General features: G+C 34.0%; 1 protein-coding gene across 6 annotated transcripts in view, besides 1 other annotated feature; it reads right to left on the minus strand.

Annotated features, from left to right (window-relative positions):
• SOX6 (SRY-box transcription factor 6) overlaps positions 1-21282 on the minus strand; it is a 772029-nt gene that overhangs the window by 370319 nt on the left and 380428 nt on the right. For 5 of the 6 annotated variants that reach the window (NM_001367872.1, NM_033326.3, NM_001145811.2 and 2 more), the window contains one exon: positions 4245-4485. In NM_001367872.1, coding sequence (NP_001354801.1) covers positions 4245-4481 — 237 coding nt within the window. In that variant the 5' untranslated portion in view covers positions 4482-4485. Of the gene's footprint in view, positions 1-4244; positions 4486-19326; positions 19780-21282 lie in introns of those variants that run through there. The other variant, NM_001367873.1, reaches the window with a different exon arrangement.
• Positions 19464-20777: an enhancer, noted in NCBI's record as "VISTA enhancer hs717". NCBI's record gives its function as "enhancer in: dorsal root ganglion[4/10] | trigeminal V (ganglion, cranial)[3/10] | cranial nerve[3/10]" and the evidence as "EXISTENCE:transgenic organism evidence [ECO:0001131][PMID:17130149]".

Here is a 21282-nt window from a genome sequence, read left to right on the forward strand (position 1 = left end):
TACCATTCTCTGCCTCACCAGCCACTCTGTTGTTTTCTGTTTCTCAAACATACAAACTACAAGACTTTTGTACTTATTATACACTCTGACTGGGTGTCTTCCCCAAATCTTTGCACAGTGATTCTTTTTATTCCAATTTCAGCTCAAATGTCACCTCCTCCAAAATAACTTCCCCAGTCTTTTTAAAGCAGTAATTCTCTATCACATGTTCTTACTTAATTTTCTTCATAGTACTTATCATTGTCTGAAATTGTCTCACTCTATAAGACTTCTTTATTGTCTGCCATACTACTAGACTATAAGTTCTATGATAACAGGGATCTTAACTACATTATTCACAAGTTAGTCCTTGTGCCTGGAACTTTAGTAGGTACTATACACTCAGGTATCCAGTGATGATAATAACTCCTTTCTAAATTATACTCTAAAGCAAAAGAAAAAAAAGTAAGGAAGGGAAGGCTCAAAATAACATGTACGTTGCAATTTATCTGTTTGATACAAGTAGCTATACATAATTTGCACCAAAAAATTGTATGTAATCTGCAGACAAGATCACCAACAATATATAAGTTTATCTGTCCTTTCTACAGTTACAATCTAGCAGATAATTATTACACACAATATCATATACAGGTCATGAAACATTATCACAAAAATATTCCTCTCCATGCTTATTAACATCAAAAATAATAATATCCTGTACATTTTTCCATGAAAAAAATTATGTGAATGTATTCCAGCCTAATGAGTCAGTCCTAATGAGAACAAAAGCACATTTTAGTGGACAGTGTCAACATTCCTCTGCAAAAAAGGTATTGGCACACTGGGTGCCATGATGAAAGTGGTAGCAGTTGTGGATAGAGGATAGTGAATCTTATTTACATTAACTTTCCAACCTTCAAATGGCTCTCACTAATTAACATAGCACATTAAATTTATAATTCAACAATTTGGTGTGTATAAATAGGTAATTATGATTAAAATCAGAATCTAAAACTTTTTATCTCAAAGTGGTCCTTGAAATCCTATTTCTAAAATTTCTATTCTCCTTCTTTGCTTATGCCATTACAAATTATTTTTCTTGTTTGAACCTATGTGGTCTCATATTTTGTTGCAGTGTCACCTCAAAATAATCAGAATTTTCACATTTAAAGATTTTTTTTCTAATCAGGAAGTGGGAATTAGTAGAGCTTCTTTGCTTTGTCTTCACCTTCTCTGACAGAAAACTTCCTCTGTGGTCATGACATTTCAAAGTAAAACCCTTCCTGTACCCAAGAGATAAGAAACTTTTAGGGCTTGTTTCTAACAGTTCATGAATGAGGGCCATGAGGGCCATTACAGAAAGTAAATAACAATGGAAACTGTATAAGTGCTGAAAAAATTATTGTTATTTTTTAGATTTTCTTTTAAGTTTTATTTTTTCACAACTATTTTTTGCGACTCTAAGTACAGAATATGATCCATTAAAAAACTACAAGTTTTACTTGATTTCATAAACATGTTTTTGACTTCATATTTATTTTAAAGTAGAATGAGGTAAAATGTTTATTAAATTTTATATTAGCAGAGTCCTCCCACTCCAACACACACTCACACATACACACACACAATATATGTAGGTTTGCAGGTCTGCCCAGAAACTTAAAATCCTTCTATTGTTTTTTTTCCTGTAAGTGTTATGGTACTTACAGTATAAGTCATTACAGGTCTGATATTACAGTTGTTACAAAATATTGAATCTATCCAGTGAAAAAGAAGCACAAAGGGAATTTCCAAATGCAGCTGCTATTTCCCATTTGTTAAATCCTTTTATTACACCATATAAGTACACAGCTGGGAAATACTATAGAGTGGGAGTTTAAACAAAATATTTTGGCTTCTAGTCATTCGGAATACACAAAGGCTCCAGTGGAAAGCAATGTTTGATAGCAAAAGAAAGTGAAAGTTTGAAAACATGTCTAGCAAGTATGATTTCTTTTACATTAATATTTAACTTATTTGTACCATTAAACTATTTTATACTATCATAAACCACATTTAATATAAATTTGGTAAGAAAATTATTAATATATTTTTAAGACAAAATTTTAGATCATAAAAGTTTGATAATAACCCACCAAAGTAACTTGGCATTTATCAAGATACAAACAAAATTTTTCTAGGAAAAATAAGTATAGTGTTCTCAAAGAAATAAAATTTGAACTGTATTATTTCTTCTTCTACCCATATTTTCCAGTCCAGTTATTTTTATTTGTCTATGACTAGATTTGGCATAAAAGCCAAAATATGTCTTAAACCCATCCTTTCTCTCTAGCCACTCTTCCTTTACATTAATCCAAGCCATTCATCTCTCACCTAGACTTCTGAAATAGACTCCCAGTGGGTCCTCCTTCTTTCACTCTTGTCTCTCTCCCATCCATTCATTATACCACGCCAGACTTTATCTGTTTGAAATGTTTTTGAATGCTTCAAACGTTTTCCATTGAACTTAGATCAAATCTCACATCCATAATGTTATCTCCAAGGTCCTGTTTGATATAGCCCCTACCAATCTCTCCAACTATATCTTATCCTATATTGCATCCTTCATCATAACTCTCCAGCGACGAAGGCCATCTTTTACTTTCTGAAATTAAGCAGTAACTTTCTCACTTCAAATACTTCATACATGCTGTTCCCTCTGCAGTTTTACTCTTTGTTCCACTCTACCTGGTTAGTTCTTACCATCCTTGGCTCAGTGAGGGCATTCCTAACCATTTATTCTAAATTAGGTTTGCCCCATTATGTTCTCACATAGCATTCTGTTCTTTCTCCTCACACATAGCAAACATCACATTTTAATTATATATTTGTGTATATATTTATTTAATTTCTATTCCCTCTCCCAGACTATAAACTCCATGAAGGCATGCATCATGTCTGCTTTGTTCACCACTATATAGTCAGCACCTAATAGAATGCTTGGCACATAGATGGTACTCAATAAATATTTGTTTAAATAAAAATGAAACATCGCTCCATTATCTTGCCAATACGCAAGTGGCAGTGACTGGATATCTATTTCACCTTGGAGGTGTTAAAATGAACAACTTAAGTTCAATCAGAAAAACAGACTTGCTTTATTACCTTCTTCCTACTCAAGAAAAATAAATCTTCCAGTGGATCGAATTGTACAATTTTGATCCCTTTCAAAACTAAAATTAGTCTAGAAACTACCTTTCAATCCTCTGCTTCTCACCTACTGTTTCAGAGCATTGACTGTGTCTGCAAAATCATCTGAAAAAGAAAAATGTCTGCCTTCATAAATTATTGAATTAAGTCTCTGAGACATTAAGCATCAAATAAGAATTTAAATATGTGTTATTAGTAGTAAAGGCATTGTAAATATTACCTTATTTTTGTTAAGAAATAAAAATTTTCTCAGTGTCCACTTAAAATAATTTTCATTAACTTAATTTTTGTTAGCCAAAGATTAAGAAATGCAAAATGGGGTTTAAAACTTCTAATCTAATAAAATATATTAACATTTTAATCTCTTCTAGATGCTAAAAAAATTGAATATTTTTGCTTTGAACTAGATAATTAATGTCACTGACTATGGTTTCTGTTCTGATGGTTAGAGATGGAATTTAACATGGGAAAGCTGGCTAATACACTGCATGTATTTGATGTGGTTTCTACTTTTTGAGAAAACTCCTGTAGTCTGATTGACTTATTCTCACGAGGTTTGCATGCCCTTTTGAAATTAATATATAAGCACATAAGTGAGAAAAGCTTTATTATAAGTCAAGAATGACCATTAAAAGTGATAAATACCTGCATTTTCTCATTGAAGGTGTATTCAACATATGACCTCATTCACACAGACATATTTGCTTAATTAAATTTTTCAATATTAATACATAAGCATACTTTATTTGCTCATACCTATTTTATGATATTACCAAGTTAACCACCTTAAATTCATGGATTCATAGAATAAGATAACCAATCCCCCCACAAAAATCAATCGATAAAATATATTACTGGCACATTGACCTAATAATAAACGTATATACACTAAATCACAAACCATTTTTCAAGTTTTTCCAGTTATTAGTATCTTAGTAATATGTACCTGGTAGTTGTTTCATGATCTACACAAAAATAACTCTAAGGTCATCTATTTCCCTAAAATATCTATTTATAATGAGGACATTCTAAGGAATGCATTTAGTGGCAGTGGTCAGATTTTAAAGGCTCACCATTCTTTGCTGAGATGACAGAACGCTGTCCCAGTCAGCATCTTGTTGAATGGTACTGACAAGTGTTGGTAGCTCCTCAGAGTGAGGTTTGTTGTGCATTATGGGGTGCAGAGGCAGATGGGAGGCCACATGTTGATCACTGCCCTCTTCCTTTTCCCTTGAGGTTAAATCCTGGGTCATTGCATCCTCTCCATCAGCTGCACAGGCAAATGGAGAGGTGGCTTGCTTGGAAGACATTCTTCTGCAGAAAAAAAACAGAACGGATTAAAAATGGCTGTCAATAACAAACCATAAACCAATCCTTGCATTTGGCTAGTTCAGGAAAGAAGGAAAGTTATTTAACTTTAGAGATATTTGTGGTCCACTCTAAACCCCTGAAAAAGAACTCCTGGCTTATGTGTCCTTCTTTCCCTCTTTGCTTTTAACTCAGCAAACCTCTTCCCAGTAATTACTGCATATTTTCTCTCTTACAATCCATTAATGATTTTTTTACAGAGTAAGTTTTCATAATGGACAGGGTGTGTATGTGTATATTTTTCCTCCTAGTTTTCTTAACTAGATTATAAGCTTCTTGAAAGTATTTAGGGTGATAGTTAGCAATGGAAAAAAATGAATCAATGAACTGGCAAATGAGTCAGTTTGCAAGATGATTTGAAAGCACAATTATCCAACTTTCTCCTATGGTTTATGTAGGAGCAAAAGAAGGGGGATATGTAGGAAAATATAATCAGGAGAGTAAATAATTCATAATCAAAGTCCTAAACAAATCTGATCCTGACTTCTTTGTTTACACTTTGCATTATTAGGGCTGGGCCTAACACTACTTAGTGCCATCTAAAGCTTTTTAAAAGACCTTTGAAATGAGTCAATTGTTGTAACTTAACTTTTAAGTGACATATTGATTGAGTGGCTGATACTGTTAGATTAGTTTTAGGGCAATTTTGTAGCATTTGAATTAAGTATCTGAAATAGCTATACCTCTATTTTATATTAGGAAGTATATACAAGATTCGAAGCATTTACCATGAAAATAGTAAAATGCCTACTGTGCATAATATTTAAAACCTCCAAATACAATATTGAACATTCATTTATATGCCCACAAATAAACATTGACTACACGCTACATGACAACGTCTCCATTCTGTGCTCTCATATAAAATCAGAAAACCATGATTATTAAATAGAATTTCAAAATGTTTAGAATATCATTTTATTAAGATGAATTTCTTGGCAAAATGGTTAGAAAATAAAACCACTGAAAGTGTATAACTTAACAGAAGAGGGAATTGAGCACTTTTCTAAAACTTTACATTGTTTTTAGTTTATTACATCTTTAGCTCTAAAACTGCTGTGTAATGAAAGGAATAAAATCTCCACCTTAATTGCTATTTAACATTAATTGATTTCATACCATTTTTTAAAAAATGCACAAATCAGTTAACATAGGAAACCACATGAGCATTTTTCAAATTAGCAAATCATTAACTTGCTAGTACTGTTTCTACAGACAAATAAATACTGATTAAAGGGTCTAGAAATCTGAGATTAACAGTTAAATTTACAAATCTGTCACACGCTTTCATGAATATTGCAGTGAAGGAAATATCAAGTGCAAAGAAAAATAATTAAGTTAATTCCAATTTAAACAGTAGTTTTTATGTAGCAGCCCATGTTTCACATAGGATTTAACAGCTAATGCTAAATTTCTCACAATTAATGAGGGGGCTCAGATTTAGTATCCTACAGTGAAAAAAATTAATATAAGATCAGCTAATCTAATTATGCGCAGTTCAAAATAAAAGTATTACAGGCTTTTGAAGTGCTTTGAAACATATTAAAATGCTGATACCAATTTATAATAATCATTCTACAAGTAACAAAAATTGTATCTATTAAATTTGATACTAGAAAATAAAATGGGGGAAAGGGAATGCAAAAGAATGCCTATAATTTCTTTGAGAAGAAATGAATTAAATGTTCTAAAGAGTGCTATATCAATAAATCAGATATATTCTTGATCAATTTATATCAATAATAACAAATGGACAAACATATACACAATTATGAAAAATGGTAGCCAATGGATGCTTCTTAGTATAAGAGAATTGCTGTATGGCTTACTTTACCGGCCCCATAACTACTATTAGTAAAACCAGGCAAATTATAATTGTTCTGCAAGTTTATCAAGAGCTTGCCACAAACAAGGGTGATTTCCTATTTCAGATACTGACAATATCAATAATCATTCACATTAAAAACAAAAGAATGAATGTACTTCTGCTTTTTAAAATAGTTCAATACAATTGAAAGTCATGATCCAAAAATCAGAGTGACTTTACTTCCCTCAACAAACATCCTCTTATTATAAAGTGAATTGGCTCCTTCCAATAGCAATGTCTATGATTGTTGCTTCAGTTTAAATTAATCATGACAAAACTCAAAATGAAAACAGTCTCTTAAGAATAATTTCAACTATAAACTGCACCAGTGAACAATAGTGCACAATCCTAATTAAATACAACTCTGCAGCTGTAAAAATAGACTAAATCTATGAGTTGAGTTTAAAGGATGGTTTGTTAGAATGTTTTCTTAAGGAAGGCTGGGTCCTCAGTCTTAATCAGCCAATAAATTATTTCCTGCAATTACATTAAATAGAAAATTATCTTCAAATGGGGAGTGTTAATTGAAAATCAAAATTCAGAGGGAAGTTTAGAAATTACACGCTGAATACAATTAGTGAGGAAAGGCTTCACCTCTACTTCATCAACAGTCTTCTGGTGATTCCTCCAGTGGCCATTCAGGAATGCTACCTATTTATAACATCTCACAATTTGTCTTTTATTTTGCATCTACAAATACATATGTGTATCAAGGTTGCAAATAAAACACAAGCTGCCAAAAAAAGCAATATTAAATCTGAGTGTTCATTCTCAGTTCACACTATCGTTAGAGGAAAAGGAGACAGGGGAGGTAGGACAACAACGGTTAACAATCAAGAAAAACACACTCAGTTTTGAAATCCCTTTCCTTAGCAAAGGAATTAACATTTTTTGTTCCAAAAATACTTTTCCAAATCATATAATTTCTTGTTTTTACTTTATTATAGTTCTCAAATGCATTGCTAGTGGTGAAAAAGATGGGTTTTGTTTTTAGCAAGGTATTTCCTTGAGCATTTCCTTTTGGTAGAATTGTTGGGGTTTTTTTGTTTACATCTTTTTTTTACATTTGGTCTTGTTGTTGATTTTTGTTTTGGGTGGCAGTTTTGAGTTTTGTTATAAAATGTGCACAAATTGTTTTTAATGCAGTTTATTAAATAAACTTTAGATTTGCTGATTATTAGATCTGATTCACTGATTTTTTGCATAAATACTTTATTAAATAATCCTGATGACATCTCATTCATTTCTTTAGCTTTCCCCTTTAAAACATTTTACTCAACCAACCAAACTGTATTCTAGAAGCTTCAATGGCACTTGACTTTTGGTAATGCCTTTACTATAACCACTGTACCATAGTTACTCTCCTTTAGAAACTCATAAATCAAATATACCCATGTTTCAGTGTTTTAAAATGTCATGTGGAATGCTTACATTTATTTTAATGCTCAGTCAGTAATTTTCCATTGCAAAAATTTTCATCCCCAACATATTAAAACAGCACCTTACTTTAGCTGCTGCCTTATATGACTAATAAGTAAAAGAAAATCAAAATCCTTGTGGAAATGGTCAATTTCGATGTGACTTTACTTTGTTTTATTTTTGCACTATTATAACTTAAAAATCATTCAAATGAATTGTTTTTTTAATTTGTATTAAAAAAAAATCTCCCTAGTTATACCCCCTGAAAACAGGGGTTTATAATGGAAGTGCTGACACAACCCTAACTAAAGCAGCGCAAATGTTGCCGCTATAATACACAAAATCAAGTTCTATTATTCTAAACTATCCTCGCTCATGGGATTTTTCTTTACTGTGCTCCCAGCCAAACTGCTGAAGCATGAAAAATTTAAATGCAATCAAATGCGCCCAATTCTACTTTACTAGAACAAGTGTCTACAGTGGTACAATCTTAAAAGGAGATGCAACAGATTTGTTTGGTGTTTTTTTTAACTGTTTATTTATAATACAGTGCATTGGAGATAAAATAAAAGAGGAAATTACACTCACATGGTACCAGTGTATTGACTACACAGAGTACATTATAATCAGAGAGAAAAACTACATTGTCAACTTATCACATTGGTTAAACAAGATGGTTTTCTGGGGCATAACTATTATCAAGTAAAACCTTCAAAGAGAATTATATATCTTTGGGACACATAAAACTAAATTCCCATCATATGTTCCCTGAGTTTAAAATGTCTCTGCCCAACAATCAAGTGAACTCCCAGGATGCCAGGCCATTGGGAAGAACTTCGGGCTTAGGACTTTTGGAAATGAGATTGCTGGAGATAAAGCCTCCAGTTACTGAGAATGTTCTCTAGGAAGTCAGTACGAACACCTCTAGAAAGGTCATAATTATTTTACTCCAAAACACCAGTACAAAGTCTGAATGTTTGGCCTACTACAAACTTACTCAGACAGTAAATTTATTTTCTGTTCTGCAACAATAAATCAAAATTAGTTGGCCCAAGACTTTATAAAATGATGAGAATGCTGGATATGTGCACATTAAGTCTTCTATCTCAGAATATCATATTTTCTAGAACTTTTCTGATTTGACATTATTCTTTAAAAACAGTTATTTTTATGTGTTTAAAGTCAGGATTATTTTTAAACAACTTCAAACTTTTAAACTTTCTCATAAGGCATAATCACTCAAAATTACATTTTTTTATTATAGCTTGAAAAGTATCCATCTTTCAAAACTGTCATTTGAAGCTTACATAATTATCAAAAAGAGCCACTGAATTCATCATAGCAATATATTTAACTGAATTTTTGAAAATATTTCCATTATTTTTATGATTATTATCAAATGGCATTCACTTTCCAGGTGTGTTACATTTATTCAAAAAAAGTCCTGTTTTTAACATAAAGCAACATTTTAAGAGTTGTTCTACTTATTCAAAAAAATTAAAACTTCAGGCCAACATTCCCATTTATTTTTGCAGCTCAGCCCCAGGCTACCAAGGTAGACTCATTTCATCAGATAATTCACTGTTAATATAATGCTGTACTTGAGCTGATATTGAGAAATAAACAACTAATTTTCCAAAAATATATCACAGTGCCTCTCATCTTAAGGAACATGAGTAACAGATATGTTTAGTTGCCAAAATGCACAATACCCAGGAACCTCTACAAAGGACACCAGTCCACCCAGCCTAGGGCAAAGAATGATTTTAAAACCCTCTTCTTCTATCTCTAATTTCCACATTCAAGGATCTTGGGGAAGGGAGGATGGCATGGTACATCCTAATTCTAGACATTAAAATGAAGACATTCCTTTTAAAACATTCCTCAATTCATTCCAGTAAAGTCGGAAGGTGCTTACTAATTATTTGTATTACTTTATACAACACCACCACCTCCTCTCCCCCAATCCACCTCCAAACTTCCCTCTGCTTCTGCCAGATTTTTCTATTTCTTCCATTAAGTAATTAAGAAAATTCAGGTGAAAAGAAGGTAACTGTTTTCAGAATTACCTTGGAAAGTTATAAACCTATCTTCTAGAGTTTGTAGCAGCACTTTCAGAACAGATATGGTAACACATGAGGACAGTAACTATTAGAAGAAAACTCACTGATTAGAATTAGCTGTCAAATCAATGGAGATGAGGTAAATGAAATACATTTGAAGCCCTTGAAGTGTGTCTAAGAAAGTGCTTAAATTAATGGATTCTGACTTTTCTAAGGGTCCAATTTTTCACAGCAAAGCACCAAAATTGTCTCCAAAGGCCCTCTGAGCTTCTTACAAAACAAGAACTACCTGGAACAGATTCTTCTTAAGTCATCAAAGTTTGTGTTTCTAGAGTTTATATTTAGCTGACAATATTGCTGTCACTTTATGTAGCTTAAGACTGTTCTTTGGACTAGAGCTCATATGTCTTGGAATGCTTTGACTCATGAATTGTTTCTCCTGATAATGTTACATCACGTAACTACCTCTGTCTAATTGGTTAGTATCTGCTGGAAGAGACAGGCAGCCAGCCTAATGACTGGCCTGCTGACTGACTGCCTATGGAAAACCTATAATTATTAAGTGTCCCTGAGTATCTGGTTTCTTCCTGGGATCAAAACAACTTGACTTCATGTAACCTCTATCTATACTTTTTGCTTGATATAAATAATATGGTCTTCTCACAGTTTATCTACCAATAACTTTTTGGAATTTTTGCTTTGGAAAGCCAGGCCCAGATTTTATAAATAAATTCAGTGACTTAACAATAAGAGTAAAACCTAACAATGGCTACTATAAATATACACTAACTTAGAGGATTTTAATCTAGCACAATGACTTTATAGCTCAACGAAAGACCTCTGTGTGGCTGGAGTGAAAGAAAGCTGTCTAAAATAATAGCAGAATGAATTTATTTATGTAAGTTCACTTTGAATTTCCTCTTCATATAAAATGAGAACTACAATTTTTTAAGTGAATAAACAGACATCTCTCTGTCAGCGTGAAACTGGCCCATTAATATGGAAGCCCAAGTACAGGATATCTTATCCAATTATATTAATAAAAATCATAAACCAGAACAATAACTTCTCAGAGACAAAGTGTAGGAAATTGTCACTGTATACTTTTCCATCCTTAACTCGAATTTCCCTCTTCAATATTTCCAGAAAAAAAGAGAAAAATGAATATTGATACTTTAGATTGTTTCAAAATATGAAAATTCACACAAACACTGAACAAATTTATATAAAGAAACTAATCTCTGAGGTCCTCCTTTAGCTAAATAAGGCAATCTACCAAGTCCACTCTTTCATGTGATGAAATAAGGTATAAGTTTCAGGTTCCTATTCAAAGACAGACAAGAAGAAGAGAAAGAAGAGGGAGGGAGGAAGGGAGTGAGAGTAGAAAGGGAGGGGAAGAGGAGGGGAAAAGGGGAGAAGGTAAAAGGGGAGGAGAAAAACAACCATGGCTTTGCAGTTCATTTTCAGTTTGTCTACTTAATGAAAACCTCATTGTACAAGCCTGAAAATCATTTCCAGCAGGCAAAGTACTTCTGATTCAGCAGAGGTTACACAAGCATCAAAGCAGTTAAATATAGGTGCCAAGCTGCATTGCCAGGAGCTCTTAGTACTGTGAGTTAGTGTTACCTGACAGCTTAGTGAATATAAAATTACTTGTTTCTCCAATTGAAGACAATCAAATTGTCACCTTCCATTGTAATAATGCACAACTAGTGATCAGCAAAGTGCAAACATAATTACCATGAAGAAAACAAAATATCAAATCTAAATTTTTCAACAGAGGAAACACATCTATCTTCTTCCCCAAAAAAGGAGTGCATTTTAATCCTGAAGGCTATGATGCAATCTTCATGTTATTTAATAATAAGATTTATTCATCTTAAATTAAATAAAAATGAAAAACAACAAGAAATACTAATTCATAAAAAGTGACTACAAATATTAATAAGAGCACTACAACTTTCCAGACATTTCCAAGCACAAAGACCTACAAATTATATCACTGCCATTTGAACCTATATCATTAAAGGGTATGTCAGCGCATTTTCCATTATAAAAACTTTGTTTTTAGAGATGTCTTTCTAGCCTAGCAACCTTCCTGAAGGTTGAAAAGGACAGGCAGGATTCAACTTCAAAAGCTTTTGTCTTAATTTTTCTTTAACAGAGAGTTACGCTTCGTTTTCGTCTTCTAAAGTAGCTTATATTTTTGATGCTGAAAATTCATCTCATGAAAGTGATTTAATATCTCTACACAAGTTTAGAAAAATAACCAAGCATAGGACACATATCCACAACTGTTTTTCAGACACTCAGCATCTAGAATTCTCATCCAAATTTGGTGACCATATTGGCTCACTACCAAAGTGATCTCAGTAACCTGAAGCTAAATTAATATTAAAGGACTGAAAATTTGACATGGTTCTCCCGCACTCCAAAGATTCCTAAGATACAAATTAAAATGAATATAATTAATATAGATAATGCTCCAAACAAACTGCATTTTAAAAGCTCTCTTAGAAAAGTGATTTTATTTCATAACTAACTCAAGATTTAAGACATTCAAATTTATATCATTCCTTCTAATACAGCAAAAACTCTAATCATTCTCCAAATACTCTAAATATAGGGGCTTTTTCCATCAATAATGTCATTTTTATCAGAAAATATGTCCTACAGCTAGGCCTGCTGAGGTGGCTCATGCCTGTAATCCCAGCACTTTGGGAAGCTAAGGCAGGTGGATCACTTGAGGTCAGGAGTTTGAGACCAGCCTGGCCAACAAGGTGAAACCTGTCTCTACTAAAAATATGAAAATTAGCCACCCATGGCGGTGCGCGCCTGTAATCCCAGCTCTGCAGGAAGTTGAGGCAGGAGAATTGCTTGAACCTGGGAGGTGGAGGTTGCAGTGAGCCAAGAGCGTGCCATTGCACTCTAGCCTGGGTGACAGAGCAAGGCTCTGTCAAAAAAATAAATAAATAAATAAGAAGAGGAAAGAAAACAGAAGAAAGAGAGGGAGGGAGGGAGGAAGGAAGGAAGGAAGGAAGGAAGGAAGGAAGGAAGGAAGAAGGAAGGAAGGAAGGAAGGAAGGAAGGAAGGAAGGAAGGAAGGGAAGGAAGGGAAAGCAAGCAAGAAAGAAAATATTTCCTACAGCTAATGCCTGATATGCCTGACATTCCATTTTTACCATATGCCTGATATGCCATTTTACCAATATTTCCTACAGCTAATGCCTGATATTCCCATTTTAACCATTTCATTTTTGAAATATTTCCTATAGCTAATGCCTGATATGCCTAATATTCCATTCCAATTTTAGAACAGATACTTCTGTTCTAAATAACATCATTTATGATCATTTAACACAAAAATAGACCAGTTTAGCAAAAAAGGGGGAGGCACTGACTACACCAGGGTGACAGTGAAATGAATTGAGGCTCATCAAGAGCATAGGCTCTCCTGAGCTTGAATCTTAGAATACAAATCCAGACATTAGAATAATGCTTTCATCTGGTATCAGTCTCAACTGGTGTTCCTCAGTCTTGCATTGTGTTCCTCTTTCTCCATTCCTCTATTTTATTACGAAGGAGTAGAGGAAAGAATGAGATGAAGACATTGGTTGAACATCGGTGGCTAAATCAGAAGGAAAACAAGGATAGCAAGCGACAGGAGAAAGGGGAAGTCCAGTCTCTAGCTGCACGTTTTATTTTGATTTGAGATAAACTTAACATCATTAAGAGAAGTGTCTGGGTGTAAGAAATAAGACGGTTTTAGAAAAACATCTTTTTCCTTGTTCTTAGAACTTTCAAATAATATAATACAATTTTTTCCAAGAGACACTTCTTATAAGCTCAGCACAATAAAAACCTCCCAGGCAAAGGGGATTGCAATCAGTATTTCCTAAACTTCGATGATGAGTAATTTAATCAATTCCTGAAATTATACTCCTACAGAGTATTTATTACAATATACTAAAATAAAAAGTATCAACGAGAGGAAGAAAAGGAAACTTCTTGTCAGAGAACATCTTTCAGACCCTGGGAGATAAATGCTTACATAGCATAAGCTCATGGTAAATGGGTAAAAGGAGAACTCATTAAAATATTTTGTTTAATTAAAAAACAAGTTAATTCTGTATATTTCATGAGGACAGGGATCATCTGTCTTGTTCATTGCTGGATCCCCAGTGCCCAGCACAGTGCACAACACATCGTAGACAATCAATACTATGGGAATGAGGGAGGAAAAGGCAGAGAGGGAGAGATAGGCAAATAGCTTATTGTTTTAAATTAAAGTGAATAGATAATCACAGAAAATACCACTCCATGTTAATACTGCCAATCTAAACATTATTATTTCTCTATACTGTTTTTATCAAGCATCTCATTAAGTCATAAGATTATTATATCCATATCCCCAACACTAAACTCTCTCATCTCCCAGAAATCCAACAGTCCTCAAATGACTGTTAAGTATTTATACCAAGATATGCTCTGCAATTTCATATTAAACACCTTAAAACTAGATTCATCACTATTTTCCTCAATACCTCCCCTCATTCATCCACACCCAGAAGAGTACCACTGTCAGAATCATCAAGGTTCAAAACATGAACACTCTATCCACCTCCTCATTTTTATCCTTGCTTCTCAATGCCAGCCAGTCATGAAGCTCCATCAGCTATTCTTTAATGTTTCTTATGCTCATCTCTCTTACCATACTTATAATCACCTTAGCACAGGGCTTTTTCACACCTCATACCTAAACTCTTACAACAGACCCTAAACTACTTTCTCTATTTTAGTATCTCCTCCACCAAATCAATCTTAACTGCTACTCCCTTCATCAAGCCACTCTCCTGATCAAAAAACATCAGTGGCTCTCCCCTGATGACAAAATAAAGTCCAAACTCCTGACCCTGGCACTTGAGGCCCTCCATCCAGATACAACCAATCTTTATACATTTATCTTCACCAGTCAAACTTCACTTATTGTTGCCTCCTAGCCTTTGCTCTGCCTGTCTCTCCCTATTTTCCTCACTTTCCTTTCTTAGTGTTAGGAAACCAACTGAGACTATTCCAGTTAACTACGATCTACCCCTCTTCTAAACACCTCTAATAAGATCTGTGAGAAATTACTTTTTATATCACTCATTCAACACTTAATGGATATTACCTCACATAATCTTTTAAAAATGTATAATATCATTATATTTTCTAAGTAACCCCAACCGCATTACAAACTTCTCAAGGGTGAGAACAAAATCCTAGCTTTCTCTGCATTCCCACAATACCTAGAACAATGTTTTGTGAAAAGAAACACTCAGTAAATACTTCCCAATTATTTAAATATTATTGAATTAATAGGCAGAAATAAATTTAGGGTGTTATCTTCAACCAGAAAAAAGTAGCCATGAAAAAGGACTTAAAATAAACTGGTTTCTGGGGGTGTCTCCTCTTTGCACACACTCTGGACAATAAATTCACCTCATATTTTAAAAGTTCTGCATATTCCCTGGCAAAGAAAGCCTCCCAAAATAATCAATTTATGTTGTCAGAAACATAAAAAAAGATGGATAAATGAATGAACCAATGGGCAGATGATGGATGGATGGATGGATGGATGGATGGATGGATGGATGGATGGATGGAAGGATGGATGGATGTTGAAGAGATGGTTGAAAAGATACATAGATAATTTTTACTAGATGCTTAGAAAGTACCAGGCAGGCACTGTGCTAAGCACTGCTACATGTATTATTTCATTTAGTTCTTAGAGCAACTCTAGAAGTTAAATAATGTCATTATCCCTGTTTACTGATAAGAAAGCCAAGGCACAAAACTGTTTATTAAAACAATAAAAATGAAAACTTGCTTAAGGTCATACCTAGTAAATACAGAGGGCAAAATTTCAACTCAGGTTGGTCTAATGCCAGGGCAGATGCTATTAGAATTAAAAGTGTCTGAAATCTAAATTAAATAAATTATTAACTATTTTCAATTATTATCTGAATTATTCTTTACTAATTTATACCATTCCTGTAGAATTTTATTTTGAATATTCTGGTTAGATATTCTAAATACTCATTTAATCAGAGCTTAGTAAAAGGATTTGCTATCTTTTTCTTTTCTGTGTACTTCTACAGTTTGAGATATGTAATTACTAGTTAACAACTTTAAAAAAGAGAGAGAAACATAGAGCAGGTAATTCTCTAACCAATCCTTTTAACTGTCATTCTGGGCAATTTGACAACAAAATTGGTTGAGGAAGTAGTTAAAGCTACTGACACACAAGGCTGAGAGGTTCACTGCAGTTTTTACACAGTAATTTTCTAACAAATATTTGTTGGTTGTTAACTATCCATGCTTTTCCTAGCATGCTATTTCTGGTTAGCCTAGATGATCAACATTTAATTATATTCTTACACAGACAATTATGAAATAAAATAAGAATGTCACTGCCCGTTTATTTCAAGGCCCAGAGAAATATGAGATCCAATTTCTACCTTCCATCTCTGACCAGAGAAACCACACCAGCTATATCAGACAAAACTGGAGCTGCCTCACTACAAAAGTCGGTGTTGAGAACAGCCTTGAGAGAAAACAAGATGAGGAGCTTGAACAATATGTATTTAACACACTACCCGTCTAGAGCTGATTTCAGGGAATGCAGAGTAATTTAGATACCCTCTTAAAATATGACTACTATATAACATTACATATATCCTAACTTCTGAGGAAAAGAAATAGAAAAGCCTCTCATATGAGGACATGAATTCTTATAAATTATAATTGTCTGTGAAAGCTGAAGAAAGGTTTTTACCACCAACCCAAATTTCCACATTTTTTTATACACACCAAACAGTCTGGTTTCACAAATAACTAAAGTGCTGCTATCTTGTATTTCTCCCTCTGTACTTCCACCACCTCCTCCCTTTCTTATAGCTATTTGCTTTAAATTTCTCACTTGCATTTGCTGGAATTATCATAAACAGCTCCAGGAGAACATGAGAATCCAATTGTTTCCATGAATCATTGCACAGAATTGTTTGAGTTATCATTATAAAAGACAAGTATGACTACCTGCTGTCTTGCATACTTAAGGGATTCTTTACCAAGTACATATTTGCACACCTACCAAGGTACAGAATTTCTGGTTTTCCCAAGCTGTGGTGTTAGTTATAGGAAAGAATCCTGCATTATTTATCTGGTCCTGTTCTTTCTTCTCATATAACCACCACCTCCACCTCACGATTTCCCAAAATTGAGTAGTCCCCTGAAAAACTTTTACATTTATCATGCCTAATCTACCAGCTTTTTAGATTTCTTCAAAAGTAATACTTTATTTGCATCCATGGTGCCTAGAACTGGAAAACTGCTTGCTACCAGTCTTACCAGGATCTATTGCCAGAAGGAAAAGTACAGTATAATGGAAAGGTTTAGAGGAAAGACTTAAATCTCATTTACTATGTCTGTGAACTTCAGAAGTTACTTAACTCTCTGAGTCTCTATGTACCCATCTATAAAATTAGGGACAACACATCTTCCTTGAAAAGTTGTTGTGAAGAGATTAATTTGATATATGTGCAAATACCTGGTATTTGGTAGTTATGAAACAAATGCTAACTTTCTTTAAAGAAAACTTGACAGAAAAATGGTTTGACTCAAACAAAAACAAATAAAAATCCTTAAAGAAAAAGATTCTGAATTTTTACACATCACAATAAATAAAAATTCCACGGAATATAAGTTTTCCAGTCCCAATATACTCGTGACCCAGTGCTGAGTGAACTAATGACAAGAACCATGCCAAGAAAATAAAAAGCACAGGGTAAAAATATATTGTTACTGTTTCTCAAAAGGGGTATGGACAGGAGGGAATCACTTTTTACACAGGGAAGACCAAAGCCTACAGCATCTGCTGCTGATAACTGTATTCCTAAGGACAATAGAGTCCTGAGCTGTAGGTGCCTATTCAAACCACCTATTATTAACCTCTTTCCTTGATTTTCAACTAAAACGGTCCAAGTATTTGGAGACTGTAACCCATTTGCTCAGAATTAATTTTTAAACAGAAGCAGCCTTGCAGTATACTAAAATTGCTACCAGAGCTTAAATTAACTTGACAATAAATAAAAAGTCTGAGCTACCCTATCCTATGAAATACATGAATACCTTTCAAAGCCTGATTATTTTCTTGTCCCCTGGCCCAACACTAAATGTTCCAAAATGTTACTTGTTTCACACAATTTTTTTTTATTTCTAAATCAGGTCTAAAATCAAGTTGCTACTAGTGTGCTAAAGAACCCCAGCACATTCTCATGAGCTGATTGAAAGCAGCTTACCTTAAAATTCTCCTCTCACAATTCACTTTAGAAAATCAACTTGAGGAGTCATAGATTTGCTAGACTAACTGTTTGGTATTCTGGTCAATTCATTATCACAAAATAGGTATTATTAACTGTACCACAGCTTAGAACAATGACACACTATTCCATGTGTAGTTTGAGATCACTATTTCCACAATTTGAAGCTGAAAGTTCCATCATCAAGATAAACTTGCCTAAAGACCAAACTCACAAACAATAAGGTATCTAGGAAAGCTGGATAAGGAAAGAAACAAATTAATATTTTGAACTTTGACAGGCATGATGGAAAACAAATTCAAGGTGTGTGTTACTCAGAAAAATTCAAAAGAAATGTATCGCAGAATAAAAAGGAGTAAATTGAAAAGCATTGATAAAGCACTATTTTTAATGCACTTGCCAATCATCAATTTAATTTACTATAGTTTTATATAAATAATACTTTCAATACATAGTTATAGCATTAAATACTATAAATCTCAATGTAATACCAGTCTTGCTTAGTTATAGCAGCTTATGAACATTAATAATTTTAAGTTTTTACTAAAAACACATCAGCAATTACCCAGTGGTCTGCTTGTCAGTTGTGTTTCTTTGAAATGTTTATTATGATTAAATATTTTCATTAGTAAAAACATCTTTTACCATAGTGCATAAAATACCTTATCAGATGCAGCATATATTAGAAACTAGCCGTGTATATTGGAAAGATTGATTTTATTGAAAAGATTCATGTAGGGAATCTATGATTCCTCATAGATAATAGTACTCAGGACCTTAGATTATACAGAAAAAATAATCACATGTTAAAAATCTACGAGATGCTACAAATAAAGGTATGCATATTCAACCCTCAGGAAAACCAAATCTGTTTTTAAATAGTCTGTTGCAATTCCCTAGCAAGATTACAAATGTCATGCAAAAATGCTTTTCAAGTTATTACCTTATTACCATAACATAAGCTTTTCTTAACAAGCCATCATCCCACCCAATCAGGTAGGCTTTGAAGTTAGAAAAATTAAAAGGTAAAGTAATACAGCCAAGACCTGTGACAGCTAAAGGAAGCACAAATCACTCACATGAAGTGGCTGCTCTTCCACTCTTCAATCCGGCTTTCTCTTACCACATCAGCCAGAACTTCAGAACTTGAGGGCATAACACCTTTGACACCTTCCCAAATCACAAGAAACCTCTGACTGCCAACCAAAAAAAAAAAAAACCCAACCCCACAGCTAATTAATCTCTGCCAAGTCTCAGGCTACCAATTGTAGCCATAACTTTAAGCAACATCTAATTTGCTAAACAAAACACTGTTAACTTTGTTCAACAATTAAAGGAGTTAAAAACATAAAAGTAAATGAAAGAAGTGAAATCTCTTGGCCTGTTGGGAGATACAGTACCCCACATACCTTCTGCCACTGCTGCTACAGTTAAGCAAACTTTACAAGCTAGTCAAGCCATCATCCAATAGAGCCTATTTGCTGAGCAACAGTGGAGCTTTGTGGTTTGCCTCACAGTTGACAGTAAGTTATGAGCCCTTTGTGAGCACAGGGGAAGGAAAACAGAGATCGGAATTTGGCAGGAAAATATAATACAGAATTCTCCTGTCTATGGAACCTGAATTTTTGTGAAAACAATCAAGCATTGTTGAAAGAAAGAAAAGCAACTTTGACAGATGAAATATAGAGGGGCCCCTTTTAGGAAAACAGTAAACAAAGCGCCATTCAGGCCAGGTCCATTCTGTCATTTATAAAGATAGTTTCTTCTGTGTGGTGAGAGTTTACAGCAAAGAGTTCAGATTCAACAAATCAAGTGTAAAATCTCCCACAGTCCCCATTAAAAAAGCCTGCTAGGAAAAGACAGGAATGCCAAAGAGAAAAATATCACAAGTTTTTCTGTTTGGTAGAGAGGATACAATAAGTAGATGGGGTGAAAGGGACTCTAAGAGAAGTCTGAAAGACAAGCCAAAAAACTAACAATTGTTAATTATAAAAGGCTAATTTTGTCAGAGACAGGAAAAGAGGAGGACACTGGAGATCACTCAATAGAAATATGAAAGGAAGAAGCCATTCTTCATCATTGTTGGAGAACTATGTCTCTATTTCTCCAGGCTGGACCTCATGAGGTCATCATTGGCACGAAAGGCTCAAAAACTTGGGCTTGGTACTACTATAGTTTGGCCATCTGGAATGTCAGCACACAGTGCACTACTTTCTCCAAAGTATCTTAATTCCTCTTTCCAAAAATAGGCACCCTGGCCAGCTTTAGTCACCCAGACTGGAAAATGTACAGCACAGAATGAAATGAAAAGCATTTTTGTTTTCTCACCCTCCTCAACTAGAAATACGATTTCTGTGCGGGAGAATTAAGGAAGAGGGGCCCAGAGCACTGAAGCTCTGATTTACAGAGCCTATTTCTGCTATGCGTACGGTCGGCAATTGTTAGTACTTATAACCAACTGAGTTTTGGGCATCCATGGAATTCTTAAAGACGTATGTCTTTTCAGCCAACACAGTCATTGTTAATGCTTTAAAGAATAAAAAAGAGGGACCACAAGCCAATAAAGTCACAATTAGAATCAAATGACACATTGCTTGCACATCATTTGGAAAACATGTATAAAACTACTTGGTTTTTGCTACACCCAGCTAAAGTGACAGCCTTCGCTGTGTGTTAATCTGGAATCAAACCAAGCCACACCTAAACAAATAATGCTTAGTAGATGCAAAATAATACGGATTCTTTTATTTAGACTACCCAAACAATTTATTTCACCAACGAAATCCCATAATAACTAGCTACATTTTAAACATTCCTTTTAAAACAAAGCCCACAAAATGCTGAAGTGTGCCCATAGGTCAAGAATAATAAAAGCAAGCATGCATATGGATTCAATGCTGCAGATTTATTCAGCATTGGTTAATGGTTTCTATAGAGATTGATGTCAATCTCTCTGGCCTTTCTTGTGTCAACAGTAAGTTACAACAAGAAAGATCGTGGCTTTTGCCTTTGATTAGAAGAGGTATCTTTCTCTA

The sequence above is a fragment of the Homo sapiens genome, chromosome 11 (assembly GCF_000001405.40).
Source record: "Homo sapiens chromosome 11, GRCh38.p14 Primary Assembly".
Taxonomy (NCBI): domain Eukaryota; kingdom Metazoa; phylum Chordata; class Mammalia; order Primates; family Hominidae; genus Homo; species Homo sapiens.